General features: G+C 52.5%; 1 protein-coding gene across 2 annotated transcripts, besides 3 other annotated features; it reads left to right on the forward strand.

The window, feature by feature from the left end:
* Positions 29-148: an enhancer, noted in NCBI's record as "active region_26401". NCBI's record gives its function as "activates an Ori minimal core promoter by ATAC-STARR-seq in GM12878 lymphoblastoid cells {active_cell/tissue: GM12878}" and the evidence as "EXISTENCE:reporter gene assay evidence [ECO:0000049][PMID:35858748]".
* Positions 242-783: an enhancer, noted in NCBI's record as "H3K27ac-H3K4me1 hESC enhancer chr7:100861252-100861793 (GRCh37/hg19 assembly coordinates)". NCBI's record gives its function as "activates a minimal SCP1, AML or CMV promoter by ChIP-STARR-seq in primed H9 embryonic stem cells {active_cell/tissue: H9 hESC(primed)}" and the evidence as "EXISTENCE:reporter gene assay evidence [ECO:0000049][PMID:30033119]".
* Positions 436-6,461, forward strand: ZNHIT1 (zinc finger HIT-type containing 1). Of its 2 annotated transcripts, none has more exons than XM_011515739.3 (5): positions 436-756; positions 4,875-5,045; positions 5,748-5,827; positions 5,944-6,113; positions 6,208-6,461. In XM_011515739.3, exons 1-5 carry the CDS (start codon positions 690-692, stop codon positions 6,227-6,229), a joined length of 510 nt encoding a protein of 169 aa, XP_011514041.1. In that variant the 5' UTR covers positions 436-689; the 3' UTR covers positions 6,230-6,461. The 2 variants fall into 2 exon arrangements, with proteins under 2 accessions (XP_011514041.1, NP_006340.1); NM_006349.3 differs by having other exon boundaries at positions 436-488.
* Positions 9,324-9,500: a silencer, noted in NCBI's record as "fragment chr7:100870334-100870510 (GRCh37/hg19 assembly coordinates)". NCBI's record gives its function as "represses an EF-1alpha promoter that drives an FKBP-Casp9 reporter gene in an ReSE screen in HepG2 liver carcinoma cells {active_cell/tissue: HepG2}" and the evidence as "EXISTENCE:reporter gene assay evidence [ECO:0000049][PMID:32094911]".

A 13,576-nucleotide genomic window follows, 5' to 3' on the forward strand; every position in this document is an offset into this window, starting at 1 on the left:
AGGAGTCCGCCGCGGGACGGAGGCCTGGGGGAACTGGGAGTTCAGCTTTCTGCAGAGGGCCACTAGGAACCTCGGATTGCCCACGGAAGCCAGCCACTTTCTTTGACAGTCCAGCCCACCTCCTCTTCTGCCCGGAGAAGCTCCAGGGGCTGCCTTTGTGATCACAGCATCTTCACAAGGACCAAAGGAAAATAAGATTTCTTGTAAGAACACCGTGACCACATCTTTAAAATGACCCATTTCGTGGCTCCCACAAGATTTACACCTCCACACTGAGGCCGGAAGTGGTTTTGCCCCTATAAAACATGGCGAAAAGCTTTCTTGTCTCCAAGGAAACGCCACGTAATGAGTCAAAGCTGTGGCGCACGCGCAGAAGTACAAGCTACCGGAAGTGATGGCGCCCCTACTAAAGCCTTGGGGTTAGTACGCGTGCGCAGCAGTTTCTTCCGACAGTTGTGTTGTGCCAATGGTGGAGAAGAAAACTTCGGGTATGTGAGCCCCCGCGGTTCGCCCCCTTCCCCTTCCCAAGTCAGTCCTAGAATTTTCTTACCTAGTCATTCCTCTTTTTTGGTCTCGCTCTTTCGCCTAGGCTGGAGTGCAGTGGCATAGTCATAGCTCACTGCAGCCTCGATTTCCTGGGATCAAACCATCCTCCCACCTCAGCCTCCGGAGTGGCTGGAACTGCAAGCATGAGGCCCCACGCCTGGTTAATTTTTAATTTGTTATGTGGTGACGGGCTCTCGCTATGTTGCCCAGGTTGGTCTCCAACTCTTGGCCTCAAAGCGATCCTCCTGCGTGGGCCTTCCAAAGTGCTGGGATTACAGGCGTGAGCTGCCGCGCCCGGCCCCAGCTATTCCTCGTAAATCCCTTCCTCAGCCCTCGGGTCCTGGCGTTGACCCTTCATTCACGTTTTATTGGTGCCTGCTCCAAGCCGGGCGCTGGGGATGAAGAGGAGAAAGACCCCTCTTATCCAAGCATTGGCTTTTTCTGGAAGGGGGGCAGAAACGCAGACCTAACACTGTATTTTACTGTGATTTGTGATTTGTGCTATGGCAGAGGGAAGCACAGCGCCTGGGAACAGGGAGACGTGGCATCTAGCCCAGGTTCTGGGAGGCAGGGGACTGTGAAAGCTTGAAGGAAAAATGAAAAAGCTTGAATTGAGTCTTGAAAGTCTAGTTAGGGTTTCTCTCAGTGGGAACCTCACGTGCAAAGGCAGTGAAGCAAGAAAAAGCAAGTCGCTTAGGAAGCCAAGTTCACAGTTTGGATCTTACAGAGTAATAAGAAAGGATCGAAGGCTGGGGAAAGGTTACATTTTGAAAGGCATTATACACACTGCCCAGGAGTTTGAACTCTGTAGGGAAACACTGGAGAGCCAGCAAAGACTTTTTTTTTTTAGACAGAGTCTTGCTCTGTCACCCAGGCTGGAATGCAGTGGTTCTATATAACTCACTGCAGCCTCAACCTCCCATGCTCAAGTGATTCTTCCACCTCAGCCACCTGAGTAGGTGGAACTACAGGTGGGTGCAGGCCACCATGCTGGGCTAGTTTTTATATTTTTTGTTGAGATGGGTGTCTCACTATGTTGCCCAGGCTGGTCTTGAACTCCTGAGCTCATGTGATCCTCCTGCCTCGGCCTTCCAAAATGCTAGGATTACAAGTATGAGCCACTGCGCTTGGCCCTTTTAGTTTTTCTTTCTTTCTTTTTTTTTCTTTTTGAGACGGAGTCTTGCTCTGTCCCCCAGGCTGGAGTGCAGTGGCGCAATCTCGGTTCACTGCAAGCTCTGCCTCCCGGGTTCACACCATTCTCTGGCCTCAGCTTCTGGAGTAGCTGGGACTACAGGCGCCCGCCACCACACCCAGCTTATCTTTTGTATTTTTAGTAGAGACAGGGTTTCACCATGTTAGCCAGGATGGTCTTGATCTCCTGACCTCGTGATCCACCCGCCTCGGCCCCCCAAAATGCTAGAATTACAGGCATGAGCCACTGCGCTTGGCCCTCTCAGTTTTTCAAAGGCATCGCAGTCTCCCAGCCATCAGTTTTTTCATGTTGGCCTCAAGGTCTGAAATACCCCGCTGTCTCCCCTAGCCAGGTCATTCACCAGTTAGGCCTTAACCTAGACTTACCTTCTTCTGGGAAGTCTTCCCTGACTACTCCAAGGCCAGGTTGGGTGTTTCTGTCCTGGGCTCTGCAGCACTTTATACTTCCGTATCCTAGCCTACTCCATGCTGTACTTACTGTGTTTGTTTCATTAATCATTTGTGTTTGCCACTGGACTGTAAGCTTTGGCATCCCTAAAACCTAGAGCACTGCCTGGCATTTGGAGGGGAGACAGAGTAGTACAGTGATCATAATCATATTTTTTTTTGTTTGGTTGGTTTTGGGTTTTTTTTTTTTTTTTTTTTTTTTTGAAACAGGGTCTTGCTCTGTCACCCAGGCTGGAGTGCAGTGGCACAAACACAGCTCACTGCAGCCTTGAGCTCCTGGGCTCAAGCAATCCTTGCGCCTCAGCCTCCTGAATAGCTGGGACTACAGGTGTGTCCCACTACACCTGGCTAATTTTTGTATTTTTTTTGTAGAAACATGGTTTTGCCATGTTGCCCAGGCTGGCCTCGAACTCCCGCGCTCAAACAATCCACCCACCTTGGCCTCCCAAAGTGCTGAGATAACAGGCATGAGCCACTGCGCCTGGCAAGGTCATGCTTTTTGATGCTGGGTAGTTCTTTGACTCCTGACCTGGCCACTTGTTAGCTATGTGAACTTTGGACACATTTCTTAATCTCTGAATGTTGGTAAATTGGGGATGATGATACTGTCCCATACAGCTGTTGTAAGGGTTAAATGGTTCAAGTGTTGCAAAGAGCTGAGCACGTGCCTGGCTCATAGTAAGTGTCCAACAAGTGATAGCTACTGGGGCTGCTGCTGTTATTATTATGCTTAACAGGTGGTTAATGAATAAAGAGATATATTATGCAAAATTATCAGAATCTGGCAAACAGCTGATAAGGCAATGAGGAAAGAGGTTTTTTGTTTTTTGTTTTTGAGACAGGGTCTCTCTCTGTTGCCCAGGCTGGAATGCAATGGCGCGATCTCAGCTCGCTGCAACCTCCACCTCCCGGGTTCAAGCGATTCTTGTGCCTCAGCCTCCCGCGTAGCTGGGATTACAGGCATGTGCCACCACACCCTGCTAATTTTTGTATTTTTAGTAGAGACATGGTTTCACCACGTTGGTCAGGCTGGTCTCGAACTCCTGACCTGAAGTGATGAGCCCACCTCAGCCTCCCAAAGTGCTGGGATTGCAGGGGTGAGCCACTATGTCCAGCCGAGGAAAGAGGTTTAAAATAACTTCTAGGTTTCTGGTTTGGATGTCTGCATAGACGGTTCCATTTGCGTAGAGAGAATCTGCAGGAGAAGCAGACTTGGATGGGAATTTTTTTTTTTTTTTGAGTTGCAGTGTCCACAGGGCCAGTGGGTGATTTCTTTTTTCCTTCTTTCTTTTTTTTTTTTTTTGGAGACAGTCTTGCTTTGTCACTCAGGCTGGAGTGGTGGCGCGATCACGGCTTGCTGCACACTGCAGCCTCAACCTCCCGGGCCCATGTAGTCCTCCCACCGCAGCCTCCCAAGTAACTGGGACTACAGGCATGTGCAACCACGCCTGGCTTATTTTTTAATTTTTTGTAGAGATGGGGTTTGGCTATGCTGCCCAGGCTGGTTTCTAACTCCTGGCATCAAGCGATCCTTTGGCCTCCCAAAGTGCTGAGATTACAGGCGTGCGCCACCACACCCGGCCTCACCAGGCGCTGGCTGCATGGCCAGTTCTGGAGCCCGGGAGCAGGTTCTGTGTTGAGGGAGTCACTCTGGGAGTCATTTGCTTGTGGGTGATCATCAGAGCCCTTTGTTTGGAGTCAAAATCCCAGGAAGAGTGCATAGACTGAGCAGAGAAGAGGGCCAGCCACCTCCATAGAGGCAGGGAGAGCAGCCGAGCTGGAGCCGGAGGATTCCTGGACATGGAGAAGGCCTGCAGTTTTGTCAAGGAAGCAAGCAAAGGGTCTCTTTCTACTCGATGAAGGTAGTCGGCACCGCCACAGGGTGGACAGGGCTCAGGTCCAAGGAGGAGGAGGAAGGCACACTGGAGCCGCTCTGGGGCCCAGAGCGTGGGTGGGTGGTCCCCCAGGATGACCAGGCAGGTGTCAGATTTTGGGGTTCAAGGAGAGGATGGGAGGTGAAAAAGTGACACATCACGTGAGTTGCTGTGAAGGAGAAGGAGCTGTGAAGCCGAGTAGACACATGAGCGTCGCCAGCTCTTTGATGGAAAGTGCCGGTTGAGGAGGAGGGGTTGAAGATGGGAGAGGGAGGGAATGGGCTGGAGGTGAAGGCTCGGGGTCAGTGGTGGGACTTGGGGCGCTCCAGGGCAGGGGTGTGCCCACTTGGCATCACGTTTGTGGGTAGGTGGCCTGGAAGATGAGCGTATCCAAGCATGGGTGGCCCCTGGTTCCTTTGAGGTAGGAGGTGAGATGCTGAGTGTGAGGGCCATGTGTATTGAGGGCCCAGGACAGCCTGGAAGCCCCAGGGCGCTGTGACCTCCCCAGTCAGCAGTGAGCTGTCTCCAGGCCGGGGCTCACTGGCTGGGACTGGGATTGAGAGGAAGGCGGAGAAAACAGGCAGGAGAAACTGAAAGGGTCTCAGCTGGCGGGACAGGAAGTGTGGGCCCAGGGCTTGGCCCGGGAGGAGACAAGGGGACCAAGGGCTTGGCAATGGGGATGAGATCAGAGAGCTGCAGCTTCCACCCCGGGTGCCTTCCTCGCCCTGCCCAGAGCGGCGGCCACACTGCTCTTTCTTGGAAGCCCTGTAACTTTGCGTGCCCTGCTCCATCCAGTTCGCTCCCAGGACCCCGGGCAGCGGCGGGTGCTGGACCGGGCTGCCCGGCAGCGTCGCATCAACCGGCAGCTGGAGGCCCTGGAGAATGACAACTTCCAGGATGACCCCCACGCGGGACTCCCTCAGCTCGGCAAGAGACTGCCTCAGTTTGATGACGATGCGGACACTGGTGAGGCGGATGGAGGAGGAAGCGGGGGATGGGACTGAGAGGAGGGCGGGAGAGTCCGCCCAACTCAGGCTGTGGGAGGACCCAGGAGCTCCTGGTGCCTCTGCCAGTGACTGGCTCCCATGGCTGTGAGCAACCACACCCCCTTTCTGTGCCTCAGTTTCCTCTCGTGTATGTGAAATAAACAAGAGAGACTGGATAAGCTCTGACACGAAGCCTTAGGCTTGGGGGCATGGAGGTGACTGTCAGCTGGGATTGGAGAATTGGGGTGGAGGGCAGAGGCTGGTAGCGAGGGGCCGACTTAGAGCCAGGAGGGCAGGGCCAGGTGTGGTGGCTCACGCCTGTAATCCCAGCATTTGGGAGGCTGAGGTGGGCGGATCACTTGAGGTCAGGAGTTCAAGACCAGCCTGGCCAACATGGTGAAACCCCATCTCTACTAAAAATACAAAAACAAAATTAGCCAGGCATGGTGGTGGACACCTGTAATCCCAGCTACTCAGGAGGCCAAGGCAAGAAAATCACTTGAACCCAGGAGATGGAGGTTGCAGTGAGTCAAGATCGCACCACTGCACTCCAGCCTGGGTGACAGAGTGAGACTGTCTCAAAAAGAACCAGGAGGGCACATGGGCATGGGGAGTGATGAACCAGAGAAAGCTGCTGTCTTTCTGGGCAAGTGCCAAGCAACGGATCACCCTTGACCCCTAGGAAAGAAAAAGAAGAAAACCCGAGGTGATCATTTTAAACTTCGCTTCCGAAAAAACTTTCAGGCCCTGTTGGAGGAGCAGGTGAGAGGAGGGTCGGCCTGGGAGGACCCCACAGGGAAGGGGTGAGCCTGGCCCGGGCAGGTGTTCGCTGCGTGGGTGGGCGGAGGAGTTCTAGAGCCGGCCCCTTGTCTCTGCAGAACTTGAGTGTGGCCGAGGGCCCTAACTACCTGACGGCCTGTGCGGGACCCCCATCGCGGCCCCAGCGCCCCTTCTGTGCTGTCTGTGGCTTCCCATCCCCCTACACCTGTGTCAGCTGCGGTGCCCGGTACTGCACTGTGCGCTGTCTGGGGACCCACCAGGAGACCAGGTGAGCATGAGACCTGCTGTCCACTCCCACTCCCTCCTTCCCACAGCCTCCCCAGACCTCTCTCCCCTCATCCTGGCTTCCCCTCTGTCTGCAGGTGTCTGAAGTGGACTGTGTGAGCCTGGGCATTCCCAGAGAGGAAGGGCCGCTGTGCACTGCCCGGCCTTCAGAAAGACAGAATTTCATCACCCAATGCAGGGGGAGCTCTTCCTGGACCAAGGGAGGAGCCGCTCATTCACCCAACAAAACTGTGTCTTATCTGCCAGGAAAGACCAGCCTCACTCCTGGGAACTGTCTGGCAGGTAGGCTGGGCCCCCCAGTGCTGTTAGAATAAAAAGCCTCGTGCCGGAAGCCTTCCTGTTTGGTCGTGGTGTGTTTGAGGTGATGGTAATGGGTCACCCGTCTCTCCTGCTCACGGCTCTGTCTCTCTTCCTCCTGCCTCCCACTCACCCCTGCCACCGTCCGCCCCTCTGTGTCCCTGATCGCGAGAGATTCTGTCCCATTTTCCTGCCACCCCCGAGCCCCTGCCCTCCTTGGCTGCTTCTTTAAGTCTTTTTGGTTATTGATTTAGTTGTTTAAACTATTTTATTTATTTATTAGAGACAGGGTCTCGCACTGTAACCCAGGCTGGAGTGCAGTGGTGCGGTCTCAGCTCACTGCAACCTCTGCCTCCCAGGTTCAAGGGATTCTCCTGCCTCAGCCTCCCAAGTAACTGGGATTACAGGTGGCCACCACCACGCCCAACTAATTTTTTTATATTTTTAGTAGAGTTGGGGTTTTGATGTGTTGGCCAGGCTGGTCTTGAGCTCCCAACCTCAGGTAATCCACCCGCCTCGGCCTACCAAAGTGCTGGGATTATAGGCGTGGGCCACTGCGCCCGGCCATGTTTTTCCTTTTTATTTCTCCAGTTGCTATATTTTCAAAGTACAGCTAGGTTCCAGGGATGGGTGACAGGGAGGTGGCGGGAGGACTGTGGAACATGTGCAGAATGGTACCGCGGAGGGACCTTGGCCTGTCTTCCTCTCAAGGTACTTAGGCAAAGGGGAGTGGTCCTTGTCCTTGGTGCTGCCAGACTGAGGGAGCAGTTGTCCTTAGGAAGCCCCTGTTACCAGGGGCTGCAGTGTGTGAAGTTATTAGCAGTACGGAAAACCCAGAAGTTTCTGGGAAACATGGGGGAATTCATGGTATAGAGCAAATTTGTCCAACCTGCAGCCTGCATGTGGCCCAGGATGACTTTGAATGCAGCCCAACACAAATTCATAAACTTTCTTAAAACATTATGAGATTCTTTTGCGATTTTTTTTTCTTTTAGCTCATCAGCTATCGTTAATGTTAGTGAATTTTATATGTCTCCTAAGACAATTCTTCTTCCAATGTGGCCCAGAGAAGCCAAAAGAGTGGACACCCCTGGATTAGAGGCCCCTGGTCTGGGTGGCCCTGGGTGCTGTGACTCATGTGAACTTCTTATACCCATACCTTGTCTAAATGAATTGCAAGCTGTAATCTCGTAAGGTCCTTTTGGTTGCTGTATTAAGGCCCAGAACCCTGTTAACCTCATAGCAAAGCAAGTGCTTAGTAAGTATCCATTGAACAGATGGCCTCATTAAGATATTAGAGAGATCCAGCAAAGTCAACGTTAGGCACCATTTTTTTTTTTTCTGAGATGCAGTCTCGCTCTGTTGCCCAGGCTGGAGTGCAGTGGCGCCATCTCAGCTCACTGCAACCTCCACCTCCCAGGTTCAAGTGACCCTCATGCCTCAGCCTTCTGAGTAGCTGGGATTACAGGCGCCTACCACTATGCCCAGCTAATTTTTGTATTTTTTGTAGAGATGGGGTTTCACCTTGTTGGCCAGGCTGGTTTCGAACTTCTGACCTCAGATGATCCACCCGCCTCGGCCTCCAAAGTGGTGGGATTACAGGTGAGAGCCACCGTGCCTGGCCAGTCACCATGTTAGGCCTTCACTTTTGGGTACTTTCCTGGGGGTTGGCTCAAGTATTCCCCAGGGTTTTCTTGAGGAACTGCCTCCCTTTCTCTGAAGACTTGCAGCTGGGCAGGCAGTACTGGTTTTGGTGTCAGCTTCATGTTGGGGGGCTGATGTCAGGATTCAGAGACAATCCAGGTGAGGTGGTTTTTCAAGATGGCTCAAAAATCTTTGTCCTCCCATTAAAAAGTGGAGTGTTACGGCCAGGCAAGGTGGCTCACGCCTGTAATCCCAGCACTTTGGGAGGCTGAGGTGGGCAGATCACTTGAGGTCAGGAGTTTGAGACCAGCCTGGCCAACATGGTGAAACCCTGTCTCTACTAAAAATACAAAAATTAGCTGGGCATGGTGGCGTGTGCGTGTAGTCCCAGCTACTCTGGAGGCTGAGGCAGCAGAATCGCTTGAACCTGGGAGGCGGAGGTTGCAGTGAGCCGAGATCACGTCATTGCACTCCAGCTTGGGCAACAGAATGAGACCCCGGCTAAGAAAAAAAAAAAGGCCGGGTGCAGTGGCTCACGCCTGTAATCCTAACACTTTGGGAGGCCAAGGCAGGTGGATCACCTGAGGTCGGGAGTTTGAGACCAGCCTGGCCAACATGGTGAAACCCCATCTCTATTGAAAGTACAAAAATTAGCCGGGCGTGGTGGTGGGCACCTGTAATCCCAGCTACCTGGGAGGCTGAGGCAAGAGAATCGCTTGAACCCGGGAGGTGGAGGTTGCAGTGAGCTGAGATCTCACCATTGCACTCCAGCCTGGGCAACAGAGTAAGACTCCATCTCAAAAAAAAAAAACAAAAAAAACAAAATTAGCCAGGCATGGTGGCATGTGCCTGTAATCCCAGCTACTCAGGAGGCTGAGGCAGGAGAATCGCTTGAACCCGGGAGGCAGAGGTTGCAGTGAGCTGAGATCGCGCCATTGCATTCCAGCCTGGGCAACAGAGTGAGACTCCGTCTCCAAAAAGAAAAGAAAAGACTATTTCGGGGCTGAACAACACCATCTGTGCTTCTCCGTGGCATCCTAGGCTGGGATTCCCGTCCAGCTTGCACTGTCAGCACAATCTCTTTGGATTCTTTCCTAACTTAGCTGACTGTTTCATATTTTGTGGTTATAAAAAGAGGCACACTGGTTCTGTTCAATGTAAGATTTCTCTCCCCAGTGACGTACTCCGCCTTCCAAAATGACCTTGAGAGGACAGGGCTGGACCCTGAAGGCCTCTGGTTGCTCTCTGATGCCATCCATGACATTCTCTAGGAAGCTGAGTCCAGGGACTTTGGACCCCCATTGAAAAACCATAATTCGGCCAGGCAGGTGGCTCACGCCTGTAATCCCAACACTTTGGGAGCCCGAAGCAGGCGGATCACTTGAGGTCAGGAGTTCGAGACCAGCCTGGCCAACATGGTGAAACCCAGTCTATACTAAAATTACAAAAATCAGCTAGGTGTGGTGGCACACGCCTGTAATCCCAGCTATTTGGGAGGCTGAGGCAGGAGAATTGCTGGAACCCAGGAGGCAGAGGTTGCAGTGAGCTGAGATCACGCCATTGCACTCCAGCCTGGGTGACAGAGCAAGACTCAGTCTCAAAAAAAAAAAGAAAAAAGAAAGAAAACCATAATTCCCCAAGGACAGCCTGAAACAATTTTGCCAGCTTCCTTCATGCTAGGGAGATTTTTTCCTACCTTGGGAGACACCTGGTCTTTGGGAAATGTATACTCTGCTCTAAGGTTCTAGAAGGTAAACCTAGTGTCATGTGATAAGGGCAGCACCCCCCTTTCCTGGGAGCACAGAGGAGGAAGAGGTTGGTGCCAGGGTTTGGAAGTGTGGACACGGGTGGTTACTCCTAAAAACTTCAATGAGGCTGGGTGCTGTGGCTCAGGCCTGTAATCCCAACGCTTTGGGAGGCTGAGGCAGGAGGGTCTCTTGATCCTAGTAGTTTGAGACCAGCTTGGGCAACACAGGGAGACCCCATCTCTACAAAAAATTTAAAAATTGGCCGGGCACGGTGACTCATGCCTGTAATCTCAGCACTTTGGGAGGCCGAGGCAGGCAGATCACGAGGTCAGGAGATCGAGACCATCCTGGCTAACACGGTGAAACTCCGTCTCTACTAAAAATACAAAAAATTAGCCGGCCTGGTGGCGGGCACCTGTAGTCCCAGCTACTCGGGAGGCTGAGGCAGGAGAATGGCGTGAACCCGGGAGGCGGAGCTTGCAGTGAGCCGAGATTGCGCCACTGCACTCCAGCCTGTGCGACAGATCAAGACTCCGTCTCAAAAAAAAAAAAAAAAAAAAAATTAAAAATTAGCCAGGTATGGTGGCGCACACCTTTAGTCCCAGCTACTCAGGGAAGGATGGCTTGGGCCTGGGAGGTTGAGGCTGTGGTGGGCAGCAATCACTTTACTGCAGTCCAACCTGGGCAACAGAGCAAGACCCTGTCTCAAAACAAAACAAAAAAAAGATCTTGATTTTAATTGATGTGAGTTAGGAGAGCCAAGAATTCTGGGAAGCAGGGCAATTGTGTCTTCAGTCTTGGAGAAATCCTGGTCTGAGTACTAACTAGTGGTGTAGCTCGGACAGGTCACTTCACCTCTCTGATGCTGTTGGAGCCATGCTGCAGCTATTGCAAGAATTCAATACACCTAGCCCGAGACCTGACTTCTAGTGAGTACGCAGCAAATGAGAGCGCTTGATGATACTGCCAAGACCTAAAGCATGTTGTTGAGTTTTTCACAGCCAGCTCCCTGGGGACTAAACCCAGCACCTGGCCCAATTGTCAGGTAGCCAGCAGTTTGCATTTACATTTCTTTTTTTGAGACAGAGTGTCACTCTGTCGCTCAGGCTGGAGTGCAGTGGCATGATCTTGGCTCACTGCAACCTCCACCTCCCAGGTTCAAGTGATTCTCGTGCCTCAGCCTCCTGAGTAGTTAGAATTACAGGTGCCCACCACCATGCCCCGCTAGTTTTTGGATGTTTTTTATTTTTTCTTTTAATTTTTTTGAGACAGGGTCTCACTCTGTCACCCAAGCTGGAGTGCAGTGGCACGATCTCAGCTCACTGCAACCTCTGCCTCCCTGGTTGTTCAAGCGATTCTCCTGCTGCAGCCTCCTAAGTAGCTGGGATAACAGGCACCCGCCACCTCGCCTGGCTAATAATTTTGTATTTTTATTAGAGATGGAGTTTCATTATGTTGGCCAGGCTGGTCTCGAACTCCTGACCTCAGGTGATCCGCCAACCCCGGCCTCCCAAAGTGCTGGGATTACAGGTGTGAGCCTCTGCGCCCGGCCAGTGGTTTACATTTGTGTTTGCTCCTAGGCTGTGGGTTCTTTGAGGGCACAGGCCCACTCCAGCTTCTAGCAGGGAAGCAGCTCAGTATGTGTTCTGAAAAAGGGCAAATGTCTCCATAACCCTTTGTAGTCACATGTCCACCCGGGAAGAAATCAAAACTCAACCTGGTGACCATATTAAGGCACACACTTAAATGCCGAGTTGTAAAACTGGGCACAGGTTGTTTTTCCTGAAGGGGGAAGAAGTGAGAAGAGGCAGGCTGGTGTTGGGAAAAGGAGGTAGACATGTGGGGGTGGCACACTGAAGACTTTTGGAAGTGCCTGGAGGTGTCAGCAGTTGTAATTGACTTTTGTCTTCCTTCACTATAGGGAGCACTCTCATGGCCTTTCAGGATTGTAAGACACTTTTTGTTTGTTTTTCAAGACGGAGTCTCGCTCTGTCGCCCAGGCTGGAGTGCAGTGGCACAATCTCAGCTCACTGCAATATCCATTTCCCAAGTTCAAGCAATTTTCCTGCCTCAGCCTCCTGAGTAGCTGGGATTATAGGTGTGTGCCACCACTCCTGGCTAATTTTTGTATTTTTAGTAGAGTTGGGGTTTTGCCATGTTGGCCAGGCTGCTCTTGAACTCCTGACCTCAGGTGATCCGCCCACCTTAGTCTCCCAAAGTGCTGGGATTACAGGTGTGAGCCACTGCTCCTGGCCCTAATTTTTATTTTTTTAGTAGAGATGGGGTCTCGCTACGTTGCCCAGGTTGGTCTTGAATTCCTGGGCTTAAGGGATTCTCCTGCCTTGGCCTCCCAAAGTGCTGGGATTATGGCCATGATCCACTGAGCCTGGCCTGTAAAAGACACTTCTACTGAGCCTGGCCTGTAAAAGACAGAAGACGGTGTGGAAGGAGAGGATTGCAGTTGGTCACAGACTTGTTGGCCACAGGACCCTTTATGTAGGGAGCAGCTCAAAAGGCACCAGGGCATCTGGCCAGGCGCAGCGGCTCACACTTGTAATTCCAGCACTTTGGGAGGCTGAGGCAGGCGGATTACCTGAGGTCAGGAGTTTGAGACCAGCCTGGCCAACATGGTGAAACCCTGTCTCTACTAAAAATACAAAAAAATTAGCTGGGCATGGTGGCGCACGCCTGTAGTCCCAGCTACTTGGGAGGCTGAGGCAGGAGAATCTCTTGAACCTGGGAGGCCGAGGTTGCAGTGAGCCAACATCGCACCACTGCACTCCAGCCTGGGTGACAGAGCAAGACTCTGTCTCAAAAAAAAAAAAAAAAAAAAAAAAAAAAGCACCAGTGTTTCTGGCTGGAGCCCAGCCAAAAGGATCCCAAGGATCCCAGCCCCAAGGTGAAGGTGTGTCCAGGGCCCAGGAAGCAGCCTGGTGTGATGGTGGAGCACGGTTTATCCGGAGGAAAGGGAGCAATGGGGATGGAGAGGTGGGCCAGGCCCAGGCAGCATGTCAAGTTCATAACTGTCTGGGGCTTTCTTCTGGCGGGGCCAGGAGCTGCCAAGGCAGGGCGGTCGGTGGTTCTCCAGGAGTGCATTAGGAAGACCGTGCTTGAGACGCCCAGTTGGGGGAACCCTGTAGTTGTGGGGGGGCAGGAGAGTATGAGGGCCTGCCCCAGGACCAGCAGTGGAGAAGAGAGAGAAGTAGATGGGTGTGAAAAACACCATAGAGGGAGAGTCTGGAGGATTTGGCAATGAACGGAGGAGAGGAAGTGGTGGAGCAGAGGGGAGGGAGAGGTTGTCCATCTGCAGACAGAGATGTCAGCCATGCTGGTGACAGGGGTGATGGGGACTGCAGCTCTGCGGAAAGTGATGAATTCGATGTGTCTGGAGCCCACATGGTAGGAACATACATGTACTTCTGAAGCGCAGGGGAGAGGCACAGGTGGAATGCCAATGCAGATCTCTCCATTCCAGGGGAGGGTTGGTGAGGGCGAATGAGATGAAGGAGAAAGGGGAGGGGCTGTGGTCAGAATCCAGGGCTCCCCAAGGGACTGGCCACTTGTTCGCACTGCAGAGGATAGTGCTGGGATGGGGCTCCATTGCCCACTTTGCTGGATACCAGGCTTCTTCCTAGCGGCCTCATTGTCCTTTTGTTTTCTCTCTTTTTTTTTTTGAGACAGGATCTCCCTCTGTCGCCCAGGCTGGAGTGCAGTGGTTCACAGCTCACTGCAGCCTCCAACTCCTGGGGTCAAACGA

This window comes from Homo sapiens, chromosome 7 (genome assembly GCF_000001405.40).
Source record: "Homo sapiens chromosome 7, GRCh38.p14 Primary Assembly".
In the NCBI taxonomy this organism is placed as follows: domain Eukaryota; kingdom Metazoa; phylum Chordata; class Mammalia; order Primates; family Hominidae; genus Homo; species Homo sapiens.